This window comes from Homo sapiens, chromosome X, assembly GCF_000001405.40.
Source record: "Homo sapiens chromosome X, GRCh38.p14 Primary Assembly".
Lineage (NCBI taxonomy): Eukaryota > Metazoa > Chordata > Mammalia > Primates > Hominidae > Homo > Homo sapiens.
The window spans coordinates 110,962,296-110,983,431 of record NC_000023.11 but is presented as its reverse complement, the minus strand read 5'-3'; the positions used below and the strand labels follow the sequence as shown (position 1 = coordinate 110,983,431).

Sequence of the window (21,136 nt, the reverse complement as noted above, 5' to 3'; positions counted from 1 at the left end):
CAAAACCCCAAAACCTTTCTTTTTGGGTAGTACACCTTTATTCAAGGACAGGGATTCTCCATCTTCCACTACCAGGCAGCCCAGAACGCCATCACTCTACCCAAACCCTCTCCTCAGTAGAGGAAAAAGGTACTTGTAGCATGAAACAGAGCCAAGTGAGCTGAGAAAACGAGCCAAGTGCTGAGAAATTAAAGAAGGTAATGCTGACTAGGGGAAAAAGTGAATTAATCAGGAAATCTTAAGGTCATTGTGATCTCTTTGATTGCATTAACATCTAATAGCAGAAGACTGCAGATTGATTACTGCTTCAGCAGGAGGGATCAAATGTAAGCTAGGAGTGTGGTGCCCAGAGCTACATCTTCTGTAGGGAAAGTCAGTGCCAGCAGGTGAAGCTAAATCTCCTCACTCCAGGCACATTGACTTGGAACCCACTGCCTTTTTAGACATGCATCAGGCAGCCTAGGCACCAAGAACCTTTCATAAATACAAATCATCCCCTTGTGCACAGTGCCCATCACTCACACTAGATCATGCCATCCCACTTCCTCCAGTGTTTCTCAGAATGGCCTAGGAAAGGCTTCGGAGGAATGAATCATCACTGATGATCTAGATGAGTCTTTGGGGTCTGCCCTTGCTCCATTAGCCACAGCTCCAACTTTCCCTTCCTAGAGCTCCTTGTGCTTTTCTCTTCATCTGCCCGTATTGACAGAAAAAGAAAAAGTTCACCCTTTTCAGTAACAGGTTGTGGACCTGCCCTCCATAAGCAAAAGATGCCATGCTATGGTCGCCTTGCCTCATTCCCACCAGCAAAACAAAACAAAACAAAACACACAGTGATCTGAATTGTCAGGGTTCTTTTCGGGAGAAGGCTGCCTAATGCAGAAAATCACATGAAAGGAAACAACAGTAACAATCATAACCCCAATTTCTTCAGCGCAACCTATGTTCCAGGCGATGAGCTAAGTGCTTTATATATAGGTTATCTCATTTAGTCCTCACCACAAGGCAGGTATGATCAGTGTCACCATTTCATAGCTGAATAAAAGAAAAGCAGAGGCTCAGAGAGGTTTAGGCACTTGTTCAGCGTCACAGAGCTAGGCATGAGCAAAGCCAGGATTTAAACCTAGATCTGTCTGTCTTCAGTGCAAGTCCTCACAACCAACTTGGTGTGCAGGAGTGGACTCAAATATATCGTTCTATTTTCAGCCTCTTTCTTCCCTTTACAACAGGGATTCCAAATACATCCAAAACAATGGTGATGCCTCCCAAACCTCTGGCTGCAGCCCTGACCTCTCTGTTCAGCTTCAATCCTTAACCAATTCCTTTCCACTAGATGGTTCCCTTTTACTCATGTCCTCTGTTCACTCAAGCTCAGAATTTCTAAAACATCATTTTTTTTCTCCCACCCAGCTCTCCCTCTATTTGCCTCTTTCTGCCAGCATTATCCCAATTTCTAGGCTCCCAACTTCAGAATCATCCCCAACTCTTCTCTCTCTACCCATATCTAGCCAAGGAAAACACCATATTGTGGCAATTTTCTCTCCATAATGTCTCCTGAATCTACCCTTTTTTCCCACTTCAAATTCTTCTTACACACCATTGGCCTCACTTTTAAAAAACACACAAATTTATTTTTGTACAGTTTCTGTGGGTCAGAAGTACAGGCACAGTATGCCTGAATCTTCTACTTAGGGTCTCATTGCATTGAAATCAAGGTGTTGGCCAGGGTTGTGATTTTCATCTGAAGCTCTGTTAGTAGAAAGGATAAATGTAAGTACAAGGAATTTCCACGTACTCCTCACTCAGATTCCCCAAATGTTAACCTTTGCAACATTTTCTTTATCCTTTTCTCTTTTTCTGTACACACACACACACACACACACACACACTATTTTTTCTCAATCATTTGAGAGTAAGATGGAGATCATGCCCCTTTATCTTTAAATACTTTAGTTCATGTTTCTAAAAATCAAGAGCATTCTCTTACATAACCACAATTATCAAAATCAGGAAATTAATATTCATGCAACATTATGATCTAATCTAAAAACCTCTTTCAAATGTCACCAATTATCCCAATGTCAACCTTTAGAACAAAAGGTCAAAAATTATTTAGTAAAAGATCCAAATATGAATGAATTCTTAACTTTAGTTTCCATATCTCTTCAGTCTCCTTTAATTGGAAACAGTTTCTCAGTTTTTCTTATCTTTCATGACCTTGATATTTTTAAAGAATATACTGGCCTCTGGTTTTTGCTGTACCTCACCTCACTGGAGTGTTGGAGCTCAGAAAACAGTACCCCAAAATGAAGGCCTCAGAAGCAAATGTTATTCTCTGACCTTCTCCTGCCCTCTTGTCTCTCAATCCCATCCTCCCTGGAGGCTAGCCACAGAACCTAGAATCTCTTTTCCCTAAGACGAGTGATAGAAACCGACCCCTTCTCCCCAAATCCAGCCATGAAACCTAAAAATATTACTCTAACTTTCCCTCTGTCTTTCTGTGTATAAACTAACCACAAAGAAACGATCTGACCTACCTTGTTTGACTGCAGGTCATAAGATCTCTGTTCCAGAGAGGGTCATGCCCCACACCCAGAAGAAAGGAATTCATGTTCAGAGAGGCCTAGAAGAATCTAGACAGAGAGGCTTTGATGTATTTCCCCACTGAGTCTATTGCATTGGATTATGCTCTTTATGTCTAATCATATTTCTACATGGCTGTCCATACTTTTTTGACCTAAGCATAAAATGGAAAATTTTCTCTGTATCTTTGGGTCTTCATTCTGAAGGCTCCCATGTACACGTATGTTAAATGTGTATGTCGTTTCTCCTATCCATCTGCCTTTTATGAGTTGATTTTTCAGGGAACCTTCAGAAGGCCAAGGGGAAAGTTATCCCTTGGCCCCTACAATAGACAGAAAAGCAGAATATTCCATGACTTCCCTACTACAGAATCATAGAATTTGGAATGGACCTTAAAATGAACTACTCCGTTGGGTCCCAAACTGTTGTCATGCACTCCTCAATATTTTGGTCATACCATTTTCCCAATATTTTTCTTTGAATTAGATAATTACTGTGGTAGGGAGAATTTTAACTATGACCACCCAAATGACCCTTGCTTCTGTATAATCCCCTCCCCTCTGAGTGTGGGTGGAACCTATCAACATGATGAGAAATTACTCCAATGATTATGTTACATTACATGGCAAAACAGATTATCTGAGTGTGTGTAATCTCATCATAGGAACCCTTTAATAACATGGTTTTCTCTGACTGATAAATGGAAGAGGAAGTCAGGGAGATTTGAGGCATGAGAATATTTTGACATGCGAGATTGCTAGTTGATGGTTTTGAGGATGGAGTGGGTCACTAAGGAGGAATTCAAGTGGCTTCTAGGAGCAGAATGTGACTGTTAGCAGACAATCAGCAAGGAAATGGGCACTTCAAATCTACAACCCAAAGAAACTGAATTCTGCCTACACCTGAATGAGCTTGGAAGTAGATTCATCCACAGAACCTCCAGATATGAGTCCAACCCAGCTGACACTTTAAACAGAAAGCCCTGTCAAGTCTGCCAGGACTTCTAACCTACAGATCAGAATGAAAATGAAGATGCAACATACCAAAATGTGTGGGACACTGCTAAAGCAGTGCTGAGAGGGAAATTTATAGCACTCAATGCATATATTAGAAAAGAGGAAAAGTCTTGAATCAGTAATCAAGCTCCCACCTCAAGAAACTGGAAAATGAAAAACAACATAAACTCAAAGTAAGTAGAAGGAATAAAATAATAAATATATGAGCAGAAATCAGTGAAGTTGAAAAGAGAAAAGTAGGCTGGGTGCAGTGGCTCATGCCTGTAATCCCAGCACTTTGGGAGGCCAAGGCCAGATCACGAGGTCAGGAGATCGAGACCATCCTGGCTAACACGGTGAAACCCCGTCTCTACTGAAAATACAAAAAATTAGCCAGGCGAGGTGGCGGCACCTGTAGTCTCAGCTACTCCGCAGGCTGAGGCAGAAGAATGGCATGAACCCGAGAGGCAGAGCTTGCAGTGGGCAGAGATGGCGCCACTGCACTCCAGCCTGGGTGACAGTGCCAGACTCTGTCAAAAAAAAAAAAAAAAAAAAAAGAAAAGTAATAGAGAAAATGAATAAAACAAGAGCTGGTTTCTGAAAAGATCAAGAAAATTGACTGAATTGATCCTTCAAGACTGATAAAGAAAAAGAGAGAAGACACAAATTACCAACATCTGAATGAAAATATCACTGCAGACCCTATAAACATTATAAGGATAAAATGGAGTAGTACAAGCAATTCTATACACATTAATTTGACAATGTAGATGAAATTAATCATTCTTTGAAATGCATAATGCATCACAAATCAGCCAATATAAAATAGATAATTTGAATAGACCTATAACTTTTGAGAAAACTGAATTTGTAATTTCAAAGCCCCCCAACAAGGTTTCCAAGATCAGAAGTTTTCACTGAGGAATTCTACCAAATATTCAAAGAAGAATTAACACCAATTCTCAACAATGTCTTCCAGAAAGTGGAAAGGGGAGAAAAACACTTTCCAATTCACTTTTGAGGCTAGTATTTATTCTCTGATAACAAAACCAGACAAAGACAGTACAAAAGAAAGAAGGAAAGAAAGAAAGAGAGAGAGAGAGAAGGAAAGAAGAAAGAAAGAAAAAGAAAGAAAGAAAGAAAGAAAGAGACAGAGAGAAAGAAAGAAAGAAAAAAGAAAGAAGAAAGGAAGAAAGAAAGAAAAAGAAAGAAGGCACAAACCAATATCCTTCATAAATATGATTCAAATATTCTTAACAAAATATTAGTCAATAGAATTCAGCATTATTTGAAAAGAATTATACATCATGACCAACTACGGTTTATTCCATGGATGCAAAGTTAGTTCAATATTACAAAATCAACCATTGTAATCCACCATATCAATAGGTTAAATAAGAAAAATAATATAATCTTATCAATTGATGCAGAAAAGCAATTGATAAAATCTAACATTCATTCCTGACAATAAAAAAAACAAACCAAACCTACCTCTCAGAAAACTAGGAGTAGAGGGGGGGACTGCCTTAAAACAAACAAACAAATAAAAAACAAAAACAAAAAAATAGCCAAATGAAACCAATAACAAATAAAAGAGGATTACACAATTATAACCTACCGAGATTCATCCCAGGAATTCAAGGTTGTTTTAACATCTGCAAAATCAATTAATGTAATATACCACTTCAATACCATAAAGGACAAAACCACATGATCATTTCAATAGACACAGAGAAAGACTTTTTACAAAATTTAACACCCTTTTATGATAAAGCACTCAACAAGCTACAGATAGGAAGGAAATTCATCAACGTGGTAAAGAGCATCTATGAAAAACCCACAGCTAACGTCATAATTAATAGTGAAAGACTAAAAGATTTCCCCCTAAGATTAGGAACACCTTTGTCGTTTCTAGTCAACATTGTATTGGAGGCTGTAGCCAGGACAATTATGCAAGAAAATGAAATAAAAGCCACCCTGATTGGAAAGAAAGAATTTAAATAATCTCTAATTGCAGATGACATGACCAGTGTCCAGAACATCCTGAGGAATCCACTAAAAATAATTAGAACTAATAAACAAGTTAAATAGGGTTGCAGGGTACAAGATCATTATACAAAATATCAATTTTATTTGTATACAGTAGCAGTAAGCAAACCAAAAATGAAATTAAGAAATTGATTCCATTTACAATAGCATCAAAAAATAAAATATTTAGGAATAAATTTAACAAAATAAGTGGAAAACTTATAAAATGAAAAATACAAAACATTGTTGAAAGAAATTAAAGAAAACCTAAGCAAATGGAAAGACATTCCATGTCCTTGGATTAGAAGACTTAATATTGTTAAGATGACAAAACTCTCCAAATTGATCTATAGATTCAACAAAATCCCTATCAAAATTCCAGCTGCATTTTTAAAATAGAAATTGGCAAGATGATCCTAAAATTTTTACAATATTTTGTATGGAAATGCAAGTTACCCCAAATAGTTAAAACAATCTTGGAAAAGAACAACAAAGTTGGAGGACTAATACTTCCCAATATTAAAACTTACTACAAAGGTACAATAATCAAGAGAGTGTAGTACTGTCATAAAATATATATATATCTTATACATATATATCTTATATATATTTTATCTTATCTCAAGATGATTCAAACAAAAGCTAAACCTAACATCGCAATGGTGAAAGAGTGAATGCTTTTCTCTTAAGATTGAGAATGAACCACTGATTTTTTTTTATTATACTCTAAGTTCTAGGGTACATGTGCACAGCGTGCAGGTTTGATACGTAGGTATACATGTGTCATGTTGGTTTGCTGCCTCCATCAACTAATCATTTACATTAGATATTTCTCCTAATGCTATCCTTCCCCCAGCCCCCCAACCCCTGACATGCCCCAGTGTGTGATATTCCCCTCCCTGTATCCAAGTGATCTCATTGTTCAATTCCCACCTATGAGTGAGAACATGTGATGTTTGGTTTTCTGTCCTTGTGATAGCTTGCTGAGAATGATGGTTTCCAGTTTTATCCATGTCCCTGAAAAGGACATGAACTCATACTTTTTATGGCTGCATAGTATTCCATGTTGTATATGTGTCACATTTTCTTAATCCAGCCTATCATTGATGGACATTTGGGTTGGTTCCAAGTCTTTGCTATTGTGAACAGTGCCACAATAAACATACATATGCATGTGTCTTTATAGTAGCATGATTTACAGTCCTTTGGGTATATACCCAGTAATGGGATTGCTGGGTCAAATGGTAATTCTAGTTCTAAATCCTTGAGGAATCGCCACACTGTCTTCCACAATGGTTGAACTAATTTACACTCTCACCAACAGTGTAAAAGTGTTCGTATTTCTCCACATCCTCTCCAGCATCTGTTGTTTCCTGACTTTTTAATGATTGCCATTCTAACTCTCATGAGATGGTATCTCATTGTGGTTTGATTTGCATTTCTCTGATGACCAGTGATGATGAGCATTTTTTCATGTGTCTGTTGGCTGTATAGATGTCTTCTTTAGAGAAGTGTCTGTTCACACCCTTTGCCAACTTTTTGATGGGGTTGTTTGTTTTTCTCTTGTAAATTTGTTTGAGTTCTTTGCAGATTCTGGATATTAGCCCTTTGTCAGATGGGTAGATTGCAAAAATTTTCTCCCATTCTGTAGGTTGCCTGTTCACTCTAATGGTAGTTTGTTTGCCATGCAGAAGCTCTTTAGTTTAATTAGATCTCATTTGTCTGTTTTGGCTTTTGTTGCCATTGCTTTTGGTGTTTTTGTCATGAAGTCCTTGCCCATGCCTATGTCCTGAATTGTATTGCCTAGGTTTTGTTCTAGGGTTTTCATGGTTTTAGGTCTAACATTTAAGTCTTTAATCCATCTTGTATTAATTTTTGTATAAGGTGTAAGGAAGGGATCCAGTTTCAGCTTTCTACATATGGCTAGCCAGTTTTCCCAGCACCATTTATTAAATAGGGAATCCTTTCCCCATTTCTTGTTTTTGTCAGGTTTGTCAAAGATCAGATGGTTGTAGATGTGTGGTGTTATTTCTGAGGCCTCTATTCTATTCCTTTGGTCTATATCTCTGTTTTGGTACCCGTACCATGCTGTTTTGGTTACTGTGGCCTTGTAGTATAGTTTGAAGTCAGGTAGCGTGATGCCTCCAGCTTGGTTCTTTTTGCCTAGAATTGTGTTGGCAACATACGCTCTCTTTTGGTTCCATATGAACTTTAAAGTAGTTTTTTCCAATTCTGTGAAGAAAGCCATTGGTAGCTTGATGGGGATGGCATTGAATCTATAAATTACTTTGGGCAGTATGGCCACTTTCATGATATTGATTCTTCCTATCCATGAGCGTGGAATGTTCTTCCATTTGTTTGTGTCCTCTTTTATTTCATTGAGCAGTGGTTTGTAACTCTCCTTGAAGAGGTCCTTCACATCCCTTGTTAGTTGGATTCCTAGGTATTTTATTCTCTTTGAAGCAATTGTGAAAGGGAGTTCACTTATGAGTTAGCTCTCTGTTTGTCTGTTATTGGTGTATAGGAATGCTTGTGATTTTTGCACATTGATTTTGTATCCTGAGACTTTGCTGAAGTTGCTTATCTGCTTAAGGAGATTTTGGGCTGAGATGATGGAGTTTTCTAAATACACAATCATGTCATCTGCAAACAGAGACAATTTGACTTCCTAATTTCCTAATTGAATACCCTTTATTTCTTTCTCCTGCCTGATTGGCCTGGCCAGAACTTCCAACATTATGTTGAATAGTAGTGGTGAGACAAGCATCCTTGCCTTGTGCCAGTTTTCAAGGCAATGCTTCCAGTTTTTGCCCATTCAGTATGATATTGGCTGTGGGTTTGTCATAAATAGCTCTTATTATATTGAGATTTGTTCCATCAATACCTAGTTTATTGAGAGTTTTTAGCATGAAGTGCTGTTGAATTCTGTCGAAGGCCTTTTCTGCATCTATTGAGGTAATCATGTGGTTTTTGTTGTTGGTTATGTTTATGTGATGGATTATGTTTATTGATTTGCATATGTTGAACCAGCCTTGCTTCCCAGGGATGAAGCCAACTTGATCGTGGTGGATAAGCTTTTTGATGTGCTGCTGGATTTGGTTTGCCGGTATTTTATTGAGGATTTTCGCACTAATGATCATCAGGGATATTGGTCTACAATTCTCTTTTTTTGTTGTGTCTCTGCCAGGCTTTGGTATCAGGATGATGTTGGCCTCATCAAATGAGTTAGGGAGGATTCTCTCTTTTTCTATTCATTGGAATAGTTTCAGAAGGAATGGTACCAGCTCCTCTTTGAACCTCTGGTAGAATTTGGCTGTAAATCCATCTGGTCCTGGACTTTTTTAGGTTGGTAGGATATTAATTATTGCCTCAATTTCAGAGCCTGTTATTGGTCTACTCAGAGATTCAACTTCTTCCTGGTTTAATCTTGGGAAGGTGTATGTGTCCAGGAATTTATCCATTTCTTCTAGATTTTCTAGTTTATTTGCATAGAGTTGTTTATAGTATTCTCTTGTAGTTTGTATTTCTGTGGAATCGGTGGTGATATCCCTTTTATCATTTTTTATTGCATCTATTTGATTTGGGGTGGAGAGTTCTGTAGATGTCTATTAGGTCTGCTTGTTGCAGAGCTGAGTTCAGGCCATGGATATCCTTGTTAACCTTCTGTCTCATTGATCTGTCTAATATTGACAGTGGGGTGTTAAAGTCTCCCATTATTATTGTGTGGGAGTCTAAGTCCCTTTGTAGGACTCTAAGGACTTGCTTTATGAATCTGGGTGCTCCTGTATTGGGTGCATATATATTTAGGATAGTTAGCTCTTCTTGTTGAATTGATCCCTTTACCATTATGTAATGTCCTTCTTTGTCTCTTTTGATGTTTGTTGGTTTAAAATCTGGTTTATCAGAGACTAGGATTGCAACCCCTGCTTTTTTTTGCTTTCCATTTGCTTGGTAGATCTTCCTCCATCCCTTTATTTTGAGCCTATGTGCATCTTTGCACATGAGATGGGTCTCCTGAATAAGCACACTGATGGGTCTTGACTCTTTATCCAATTTGCCAGTCTGTGTCTTTTAATTGGAGGATTTAGCCCATTTACATTTAAGGTTAATATTGGTATGTGTGAATTTGATCCTGTCATTATGATGTTCGCTGGTTATTTTGCCTGTTAATTGATGCAGTTTCTTCATAGCATTGATGGTCTTTACAATTTGGCCTGTGTTTGCAGTGGCTGGTACTGGTTGTTTCTTTCCATGTTTAGTGCTTCCTTCAGGAGCTCTTGTAAGGCAGGCCTGGTGGTGACAAAATCTCTCAGCATTTGCTTGTCTGTAAAGGATTTCATTTCTCCTTCACTTAGGAAGATTAGTTTGGCTGGATATGAAATTCTGGGTTGGAAATTCTTTTCTTTAAGAATATTGAATATTGGCCCCCACTCTTTTCTGGCTTGTAGAGTTTCTGCAGAGAGATCTGCTGTTAGTCTGATGGGTTTCCCTTTGTGTGTAGCTCGACCTTTCTCTTTGGCTACCCTTAACACTTTTTCCTTCATTTCAACCTTGGTGAATCTGACAATTAGGTGTGTTGGGTTTGCTCTTCTCTAGGAGTATCTTTGTGATGTTCTCTGTATTTCCTGAATTTGAATGTTGGCTTGCCTTGCTAGGTTGGGGAAGTTCTCCTGGATAATATCCTGAAGAGTGTTTTCCAGCTTGGTTCCATTCACCCCATCACTTTCAGGTACACCAATCAAATTTAGATTTGGTCTTTTCACATACTGCCATATTTCTTGGAGGCATTGTTCATTTCTTTTTACTCTTTTTTCTCTAACCTTTTCTTCTTGCTTTATTTCATTAATTTGATCTTCAATCACTGATACCCTTTCTTCCACTTGATCGAATCGGCTATTGAAGCTTGTGCATGCGTCACGAAGTTCTTGTGCCATGATTTTCAGCTCCATCAGGTCCTTTGAGGTCTTCTCTACACTGTTTATTCTAGTTAGCCATTCGTCTAATCTTTTTTCAAGGTTTTTAGCTTCCTTGTGATGGGTTCGAACATCCTCCTCTGGCTCGGAGAAGTTTGTCATTACCAACCTTCTGAAGCCTACTTCTGTCAACTCATGAAAGTCATTCTATGTCCAGCTTTGTTCCGTTGCTGGCGAGGAGCTGCAAACCTTTGCAGGAGAAGAGGCACTCTGATTTTTAGAATTTTCCCCCTTTCTGCTCTGGTTTCTCCCCATTTTGTGGTTTTATCTACCTTTGGTCTTTGATGTTGGTGACCTACAGATGGGGTTTTGGTGTAGATGACCTTTTTGTTGATGTTGATGCTATTCCTTTCTGTTTGTTAGTTTTCCTTCTAACAGTCAGATCCCTCAGTTGCAGATCTGTTGGAGTTCGCTGAAGATCCACTCCGGACCCTCTTTGCCTGGGTATCTCCAGCGGAGGCTGCAGAACAGCAATATTCCTGCCTGATCCTTCCTCTGGAAGCTTCTCCCCAGAGGGGCAGCCAACTCCCTACTGGGAGGTGTCCCCATTTAGGCTACACGGGGGTCGGGGACCCACTTGAGGAGGCAGTCAGTCCATTCTCAGAGCTCAAACGCAGTGAAGCACTGATTTCTACTCTCATCACTGCTATTCGAGGTAGTACTACCCAGCGCAATAAGACAGGAAAGGGAATAAAAGTCTTATACATACATACATATATAGAGAGAGAGATAGATAGATAGATTGATAGATATGTATATATATGTGTGTGTGTGTATATATATGTGTGTATATATACACATACATACCTACATACATACGTAGAACAATGGAATAGAATTGAGAGTCTAGAAATGAACTCTCACACTTATGGCCGTTTGATTTTCAACAAGGGTGCCAAGAAGTTTTATTAGGAAAAGAATAATCTTTTCAACTAATGGTGCTGGGACAACTGTATGTCCACATACAAAATAATGAAGTTTTACTCCTACATCATGCCATATAAAAATTAACCCAAAATGGATAAAAAGATGTAAATGTACAAAATAAAACTAGAAAATTTTTAGAAGAAAACATAGGTGTGAATTTTAGTGATCTTGAATTAGGCAGTAGTTTTTGTATCTGACTCTAACAGCATAGTCAAGAAAAGAAAAAATAAACTACTGGACATCATTAAAGTTAAAGACATTTGTACTTTAAAGGACAGCATCAAGAAAATGAAAGGACAACCCACAGGATGGGAGAAAATATTTGAAAATCATATATGAGATAAGGGACTTGTATCTAGAATCTAAAGAACTCTTGTAACTCAATAATAAAAAGACATTATGGCAGCCAACAAATGGAAACAACCTAAATATTCAACTGATGAATGGATAAACAAATTATGGTATGTGCATACAATGCAATATTATTCAGCAATAAAAATAACTGAAATACTAATACATGCTTCAACATGGATGAACCTTGAAAACATTATGCTAAGTGAAAGAAGCCAGTCACAAAAGGCCACATATTGTATTACTGCATTTATATGAAATGTCCTGAATAGAAAAATCTATAGAGACCAACTGGAGACTAGTGGTTGTTTATGGCCGGGGAAGATGGTGGATTGGGTGGTGACAGCTAAGGGGTATGTGGTTTATTTTGAGAGCACTGAATAAAATTGATTCTGGTGATGAATGCAAAATTCTGTGAATATACTCAAAGTCTTTAATCTTGTACTTTAAATGGGTGAATTGTACAGCATGTGAATCTTATCTCAAGCTGATTTTTAAAAACTAAAGCTAAACCTAACATCACAATGGTGAAAGACTGAATGTTTTTCTCTAAGATTGGGAATGAAGCACTGATTTCTACTCTCATCACTGCTATTCGAGGTAGTACTACCCAGTGCAATAAGACAAGAAAGGGAATAAAAGTCTTATACATCCAAAAGGAAAGAATAAAATTGTCTCTATTTACAGATGGCATGATCATCTACACAGAATAATATGTCAACGAATTTATAAAAATGAGCCTTGATCTAGCAATGAAGTTTTGGTTTGCAGGATACAATATCATCATACAAAAACCAATTGTACTTATTTTATTTTACTTTAAGTTCTGGGATACATTTGCAGAACGTACAGGTTTTTTACATAAGTATACATGTGCCATGGTGGTTTGCTGCACCTTTCAAACTGTCATCTAGGTTTTAAGCCCCACATGCATTAGGTATTTTTCCTAATGCTCTCCCTCCTCTTTCCCCCCACCCACAGCAGGCCCTGGTGTGTGATGTTCCCCTCCCGATGTCCATGTGTTCTTATTGTTCAACTCCCACTTATGAGTGAGAACATGCGGTGTTTGGTTTTCTGTTTCTCTGTTAGTTTGCTGAGGATGATGGTTTCCAGTTTCCTCCAGGTCCCTGCAAAGGACATGAACTCATTCTTTTTTATGGCTACACTAAAGAGCTTCTGTTCAGCCAAAGAAACTAACATCAGATGAACAGGCAACCTAACCTACAGAATGGGAGAAAATTTTTGTAATCTATCCATATGACAAAAGTCTAATATCTAGAATCTACAAGGAACTTAAACAAATTTACAAGAAAAAAACAAACAACCCCATCAAAACGTGGGTGAAGGATATTAACAGACACTTCTCAAAGGAAGATATTTATGTGGCCAACAAACATCTGAAAAAAAGCTCATCATCACTAGTCATTAGATACATGTATTTCTATATGCTAGTAATGAACATGTGAAAACCAAAATTAAAAATACAAGAGCACTTATAATCACTCAAGAAATGAGTTATTTAGGTGTAAATGTAACAAAATCTATACAGGACTTGTATGTTGAAATGTAAAGACAATGATGAAAGAAATCAAAGACCTAGATAAATGGATAGATCCCATGGATTAGAAAACTCAATATAGTAAAAGTGTCAATTCTTCCAAAATTGACATACACATTTCATACTATTCCTATAGAAATCCCAGCAAGATTTTTGGCTATAGACAATATAATTCTGTAATATATTTGGAAAGACCTAGCATAGCTAAAACAATTTCTAAAAATAAGAATCAAGCAAGAGTAATTGTTTTACCCAATATTAAGGTTTACCACAAAACTACAGTAATCAAGAGAGCATTGTATTGGTGGAAGGATAGACACACAGGTCAATGGAACACAATAGACAACTCAGAAATAGACTCACACAAATATGCCCACCTGATTTTTGACAAAGGTGCAAAAAGAATTCAGTGGAAGGGCTGGGTGCAGTGGTTCATGCCTGTAATCCCAGCACTTTGGGAGGCCAATGTGGGCAGATCACCTGAGGTCGGAAGTTTGAGACCAGCCTGGCCAACATGGTGAAACCCTATCTCTACTAAAAATCCAAAAAAAAAAAAAAAAAAAAAATTAGCCACGTCTGGTAGCACACGCCTGTAATCCCAGCTACTCAGGGGGCTGAAGCACAAGAATCGCTTAAACCCGGGCGGTAGAAGTTGCAGTGAGCTGAGATCGCGCCATTGCACTCCAGCCTGGATGACAGAGTGAGACTCTATTAAAAAAAAAAAGTCAGTGGAAGAATTGCCTTTTTGACAAGTAATGCTGTAGCAATTGAACATCCCTAGGCAAAATAATGAACCTTGACCTAAATCTCATACCTCAATGTGGGCAGATCACCTGAGGTCGGGAGTTTGAGACCAGCCTGGCCAACATTGTGAAACCCTGTCTCTACTAAAAATACAAAAAAAAAAAAAAAAAAAAAAAAATTAGGCAGGTCTGGTAGCACATGCCTTTAATCCCAGCTACTCAGGAGGCTGAGGCACGAGAATCACTTAAACCCGGGCTCTCATACCTCACACAAAATTAACTCAACATAGATCATAGATTTACATGTAAAGCATAAAACTATAAACTTTTAGAAGAAAACATAAGGGAAAAATCTTAGAAACCCAGGGCTGGTAAGGAGTTCTTAGGCATGACACGAAAAGTATAATCCATGAAAGAAAAATGAATAAATCAGACATCATAAAAATTTAAAAACTTTACTCCATGAAAGACCCTGTTAACAGAATGAAAAGAAAAGCTGAAGACTGAAAAAATATATATATTTGCAAATCATGCATCTAACAAAGGACTGCTATCTGGAATATATTTTTAAAAACTCAAACTCAATGACAAAAACCACAAAATTTAATTAGAAAATGAACAAAAGACATGAACCAGCATTTCACTGAGGAGTTTATATATATGGCAAATAAGCACATGAAGAGATGTTTAATATCATTAGCCATTAAGAAAATGCAAATTAAAACCACAAGATATCACTAACACTTGTCAGATTGGTTGAAGTAAAAAATTTGTGACAGTACCAAATGTTGGCAAAGATGTAGAGAAATTGGATCACTGATACATTGTTCCTGAAAATGTAAAATGGTATAGCCACTCTGGAAAACAGTTCACCAGTTTCTTATAAAACTAAATATGCACTTACCTTATGACCCAGCAATCAGACTCCTGGACACTTATTCTAGAGATGAAAGCTTTTGTCCACACAAAGACCTGTACATGATTGTTCATGGCAGTTGTATTTGTAAAGCCCAAAACTGGAAGCAGCAAAAATGTCCTGCAATTGGTGAATGGTTAGACAAACTCTGGTATATCCATACCATGAAATGCTATGCAGCAATAAAAAGGAATGAACTACTAGTATATGCAACAACCTGGGTGGATCTCCAGGGCATTATGCTGAGTAAAAATAGCTAGTCTCAAAAAGTCACATAATATATTGTTTCACTTGTGTCATACTCTTGAAATGACAAAACTATAGAGATGAAGAATAGATTAGTGGTTGCCAAGGGTAAGGAATGTTGGAGGGAGGAAAATGGATGTGACTAGTATGTGACGAGGGAGATCTATGCAATGGTAGAACAGTTCTGTATCTTGACTGTGTTGTTGGACACACAAACCCACACATGAGATGAACTGACATGGAACTAGACACACACATTGTGCCAATGTCATTGTCCTGGTTTGATATTACATGATGGTTATGTAGATGTAACCATTGGGAAAACTGGGTGAAAGGTACACAGAGACCCCTTTGTAACACCTTGGCAACTTCCTGTGAATCTATAATTATTTAAAAGTGAAATGTTTTTAAATGTGTGGCTCACAGATATATTTTGCTTGGCCCGTAGTGTCTTGACATTGAAAAAAAAATTAATTGTTAAGAGATTTTACATAAATACCTGGATATCTATCTTCTCTTAAAAATTCATAAGACATGTAAATGTGGGCCCAAATTCCCAGGCTTCCCACTGCTCTCTTCCATGGGAATCGTTCTCTTTCAGCTCAGCACAGTCCTCACCCAGGCCCCTGCAATCATTAAGCTACCAGTCTGGTCCCCAAAGGCATTTGAGTTTGTGGCCCCTAGTTATGCCTTTGTCCCTAACCCTGTGCCTACTTACACTCTTTTTACCCGTCTCCAACACAGCCATACCCAAAACAAGAATCTTGCACGTGACACCTCAGCACTAACCCCCTCCAGCTCACTGAAGATACTATCCTTCTGTTTCCTGTTGTCAGCTCTGACCTTCTGCACTCGTAGTCCCTGATCTGTTTGCTTTTGTCCCCTTGGCCCTGTTCTGGTTTTTGCCCCTATGGCAAGTCTGTAGAATGTTAACTCTACCACTGGGTTCCCAAACTGTAGTCAGGGACACATGGTATTCTAAGTGGACACACCACAGGTCAGGGTTTGTCTGGGCAGGAAGATCAGACACTCTCAGAGCTGACTGGGAGCTGAGCATGTGCCTCAAAGCTCTCTGTGGTCTTGTTGAGTAATCTAGCATTCCCTTGCACACAGAAAATGCAATTTTGCAATACACATAGGACAACAATCATTTCTGTCTAGTACAGGGCATTCTTGGGGGCAGGATCCATCCCTCATGCAGGCAGTACCGACATATCCTATCCCTGCTTTTTCCTTTTCCTTAGATCTTGTTAAAATTACAAAAAGCATTTATATTCATTAGAATTCTGGAAAAATTACAGAAAATTTAAAGAAGAAAAATAATCTACAACTTGACTACCTACAGATGATTACTGTTAACATTTTGGAATACTTCCTTCCAGTCTTTTTTTTTTATATTTGTACATACACACTTCAAAATGGTGTAACACTATTTTGCAGCCTGCTTTTCTCACATAATTGTATATTATGGACATATTCCCTTTTCAATAAACATTCTTCTAAAACTGCAGTCAAAATTTATTTAAGATTAGATTTGAATAGGACTGTCTTGACTATTTTTTCTTCCTTGTTTTCTTTTTAGAAGTATCTCCTTCCCACCCCTGATCTCTCTCTCTCTCTCTGTTCTTGATCTCTCACTCTCTCTCCTTTCTTTCTCTCCTACCCTCCCTCCCTCCTTTTTTGAGTCCCTCCCTTTCTTTCACATAATAAGTGAATCAAATTCACAGGGCTAAAGGTTATGGGGAAGCAGTGGGCCTGTAGAGGCGGTAGAATTAAGAGGAGGTGGTTTGGTGGGCAGAGATGAAAAGCTGCTCTGGGAATCAAAAATGGTCTGCTAAGCCAAGTGGGAAAATGAATTGTCCTACCCTCCTTTGTGTATGAATGAATGGAACTGGAGCCCTGGGGCCAAGAAAGACTATTACTCTTTCCATTATGAAGACTCCAGCTGTGGAAACCCATATTCTTATTGAAAAAAATATACATTTCTTTTTTAGGTGACACATATTTAGCTATTCATTGAAACAGTGAGGCTAAATCAGTTTAGTGAATCATAACCACCCTCATTTAGCAAGGATTTATGTGTGCCAGGCACTGTGCTCACTCCACTTTAAGTTTGTGCAGTAAAGCATAGTGCATACGACGTGGCCTCTGGAGCAAACTGCTAGGTTCAATTCTCAGCTCTGCTGCTCACCAGATTTGTGACGTTGGGCGAATTACTTAACCCCTTTGATCCTCAGCTTCCACATCTATAAAATGGGGATAATACAAGTCCCTCTCACAGGATCATTTTGAGGATTTAGTGAATTACAGTGTGTAAAGTACTTAGAAGAGTACCTAGTCCACAGTAGGTGCTCTGTCAGTGTTAGCTTTCATTATTATTAATAATAAATCCTCATAATAGTCCCTGAGGGAAGTACTATTGTTATTCTTCTATGAGAAGTGACAAAACTGAAGCTTGAATAAATCAAATGATTGCCTAAGCTCATGCTTGCTGCTAGTGAGTAATCAAGTTAAGATCTGTATCAGGCTGCCTCACCCTGGAGCTGGTCTTCTTAACCACAGTGCTATAGTTCTCCATCCTTTTTGTGAATAGAAGCTAATTTCCTGGTTCCCAAAGCCTGGTCCTGAGGCTGAGCAAAGGAGGAAGGGGACAATGTCAGCCAGCTGCCCTTCTCTTGCCCTTGGCCACTGCAGCAGACCTTAGGCCAAGGGAAGGCTAAGGGCAACAGCACCTGACCAGAGAAGAGGAGCTTGGAGAGATCTCAATAGGTTTGGAGCTCCTGCTTGGGGACTGTGGGCTTAAGCCCCCAAACTTTCTGACTCTCAGACACTTTGAACTGTTTCAGAAGAACTGCTTACCTGGGTCTGATTTTCTCCGTCCCATTTGCAATGCAAACCCACCTCCCCAAGGCCCACATGGCCTTCAGGGCAGTCAGCCTCACTGTGGCCAGAAAAGACAGCTGTCTCAAGGCTGGCCCCTTTGTTCAGGAGAAGCTGGAATATCAGCAGCAATCCCAGATTCATAGTGATAATCAGCTCCCTGTCTGGACGGTCAGGACTGAGCAAAATAACAAGTGCGGCCGCACCTGTTCTGGGGGTCTGGCACTGGTAAAGCAAGCTGCTATGAATGGCCCAAGCACCCACACAAGCAGCAGCTGCTGCCTGGAATCAGAGCTTTGTTAGCATAAGAATGGAGCCTGCCACGCCAACCAGCCAGCCAGCCAGCCAGCAAGCCAGCCAGTCAGTCAGTCAGCCAGCCAGCCAGCTTGCCAGCTAGCTTCCTTCTCCCCCTCCTCCCCATCTTGCCTTAGAACACCAAATGGGCCACCCTCATTGTGGGCAGACTGGATTTGTGTTGCTTTTCTCAACAGCATTGATCCATTTTTCATTTGTGAGGGAAAGAACACTTCCTGTTCTTCAGACGTGGCACAGGTAGAGGAAGATTCTGTAGATCTACTCACTACTCACAATGTTCTCATTCTAGGACAAGGGGAGCACAGTACACAACTCAAGAGGCACACTGCACAGAGACTGCAATGTGAACAGTGCTCCCTGGAGTTGTGCAGTGCAGTCTGTGCAGCCCTGCTCCAGGGGCAAATATAGGCCAGATGATTTCCATATAAAGGTCTCTAGTCTCTTGCTACTCAAAGTGTGGTCCATGGACCTGCTACATCAAGCAGCAACTGGAAGCTTGTTAGAAATGCAGAAGCTCAGGCTCCACCCCAGACCTATGGAGTCAGCAATTTGAATTTAGCAAGAACTCCTGGTGATTCATACACGAATTAGAGTTTTAGATGTACTGGGATAGAAAACATGGCCTTGGATCTCACATTTTCTCACACTTGAAAATGCTTGAGCTTTTGAATCAGAAAAATTGTGGTTCAAACCTTAGCTTCATCGATTGCTAGGGGTATGATGGCAATCAAGTCACTTAACCTCCTTGAACTCAGTTTTCTCATTTGTAAAAGGGCAAAAATAATAGTAACAATGGATTCATTGTGGGGATGAATAATAAAAATGTATGTGACAGTGACTAGCATGCTGTTTGGCATGTGGTCATGTTTCAATGAATAATAACTCTTATTATTATTTTTCTTCCCAGTAAATAACACTACCATGCTAACTTCAGATGATTCGGATGTTGACTTGCCCAGTTGTGTATCAGGAAGGCTCCTTTACTTCTCCTTATGCTCTGTGGGAACTTAAAGCAGTAAGTTTAATTAATCATAACACCTCACGCTGATATAGCACTTTGAACTTTTGAAAGCATTTACATAGCAATTATCTCCTAGTATCAAAGACTCAAGGTATCAGAACTGAAAATAATCCTAGAGATCACTTGGTTCAACATCGTCCTTTCTGTGTTCAAATGAGAATTGTTCAGTGACTTGCCCAAGGTCATACAGTTAGTTGAGTGGCACAATCAGCACTAGAACCTGATGAAAACCTAATTTTCAATTCAGTGCTTTTACTTAACAGCAGTTTTAATAAGAATATTTGTTTAGGGAGAGATGACACTAGAGGCTTAGGTCAGTCAAGCCTGGCCATGGCCATAGGCTCCACTCACCATGAACATTCTCTGAACTGGAAAAATTGAGGCAATTTTATAGCATGGGCCTGGGAACCACCAGATTTATCAATGGCAAATTTCCCTTTTTATAGGTAAGAGTGTGCACTTTCCCTTTTCCTGGATGCAGATGAAAAGCCTACAGCCTGAGCTTAATCACAGTTTGGAAGAGTAAATGAGGGCAACTAAGCTGCCCTGAGAACAAAGAGCTCACTGGGAATTAGTTCCCATGGAGACCACAGCATGAGGACTGGACAGGATGTCTTAAGGTTCTCCCAGTTCTGATAAAGGCAACAGAATTTCATTTCATGAAGTAAACATGTAAAAAATTTTAATTCAGTGGAATATTCTGCTGCTTTTAAATAGGCTCTACAATCACTCAGGAGTATATTAGACATATATTAAGTAGAAAATGCAAATTATAGAACTATGTGCAATTTCATATCTGATGCTGACCAGGGATAGTGCCTGCATCAAGGCCATGGTTGTTCTTCAGGCAGAGTTCTGTATTTCATGTGTATAACAGGCACCAGCAGCCCTGAAAGACAGAGAAAGGGCCTTACAACACACAAAAGGTCACATCAAGCTGTGAGAGGCCTCATTCTGGGCCTTGCAACCAAACGAATACATCTAGGGGGGATAAAGTTCCTGGACACAAGGCCTATGAAGCTTTCACATTCTTGATGTCAGAGATACCCTTCTGTTCCTGATAAATACTAAGCTTATTAGTTATGAAGGTCAACATCAATAGCATTCAAATATTTCTTTTGGCTGTAGAATTTTCACTCTAATGGGAAATATCTTCAGAGGCCAGGATGATAAACAGATATAAAGCACAGCTGTCCTAGTTAAATTAGAGGCTTGGCGGCTTGGCCCTGTTATGTGGCCTGCTCGGCCTGCTGCCCCCAACTTCACTCCAGAACACACACAGGGATGCATGAAGTATAACTTGAAAACCACTGCTATAAGTCCCTGGGAGTCATTAATGATTAATTGCATAGGAGCAGAGAAATAACAAGTAAGGTTTGCATGGTGGAAAGATTATTCAACTTTGCAAGACAGCTTGAAGGAGGCTGTTATAATGCCAAGAAATCCAGTTAGGAAGATATTGTAGTGGTCCAGAGGAGAGATGATGAGAATCTAGAGATGTGGCAGTCAAGATGCAAGAAGCAAATAGATAACAAAGATTTTAGAGATAGCCTTGGGAGGATTGGTAATTGTGGAAGGTGAGGGAGATGAAGGAGGAATC

At 39.1% G+C, this 21,136-nt stretch overlaps 1 protein-coding gene across 10 annotated transcripts in view, besides 1 other annotated feature; it reads right to left on the bottom strand.

The window, feature by feature from the left end:
• PAK3 (p21 (RAC1) activated kinase 3) overlaps nt 1-21,136 on the bottom strand; it is a 282,965-nt gene that overhangs the window by 243,930 nt on the left and 17,899 nt on the right. The gene's annotated exons all lie outside the window — the stretch shown is intronic.
• Nucleotides 18,264-18,864: an enhancer, noted in NCBI's record as "OCT4-H3K27ac-H3K4me1 hESC enhancer chrX:110207796-110208396 (GRCh37/hg19 assembly coordinates)". NCBI's record gives its function as "activates a minimal SCP1, AML or CMV promoter by ChIP-STARR-seq in primed H9 embryonic stem cells {active_cell/tissue: H9 hESC(primed)}" and the evidence as "EXISTENCE:reporter gene assay evidence [ECO:0000049][PMID:30033119]".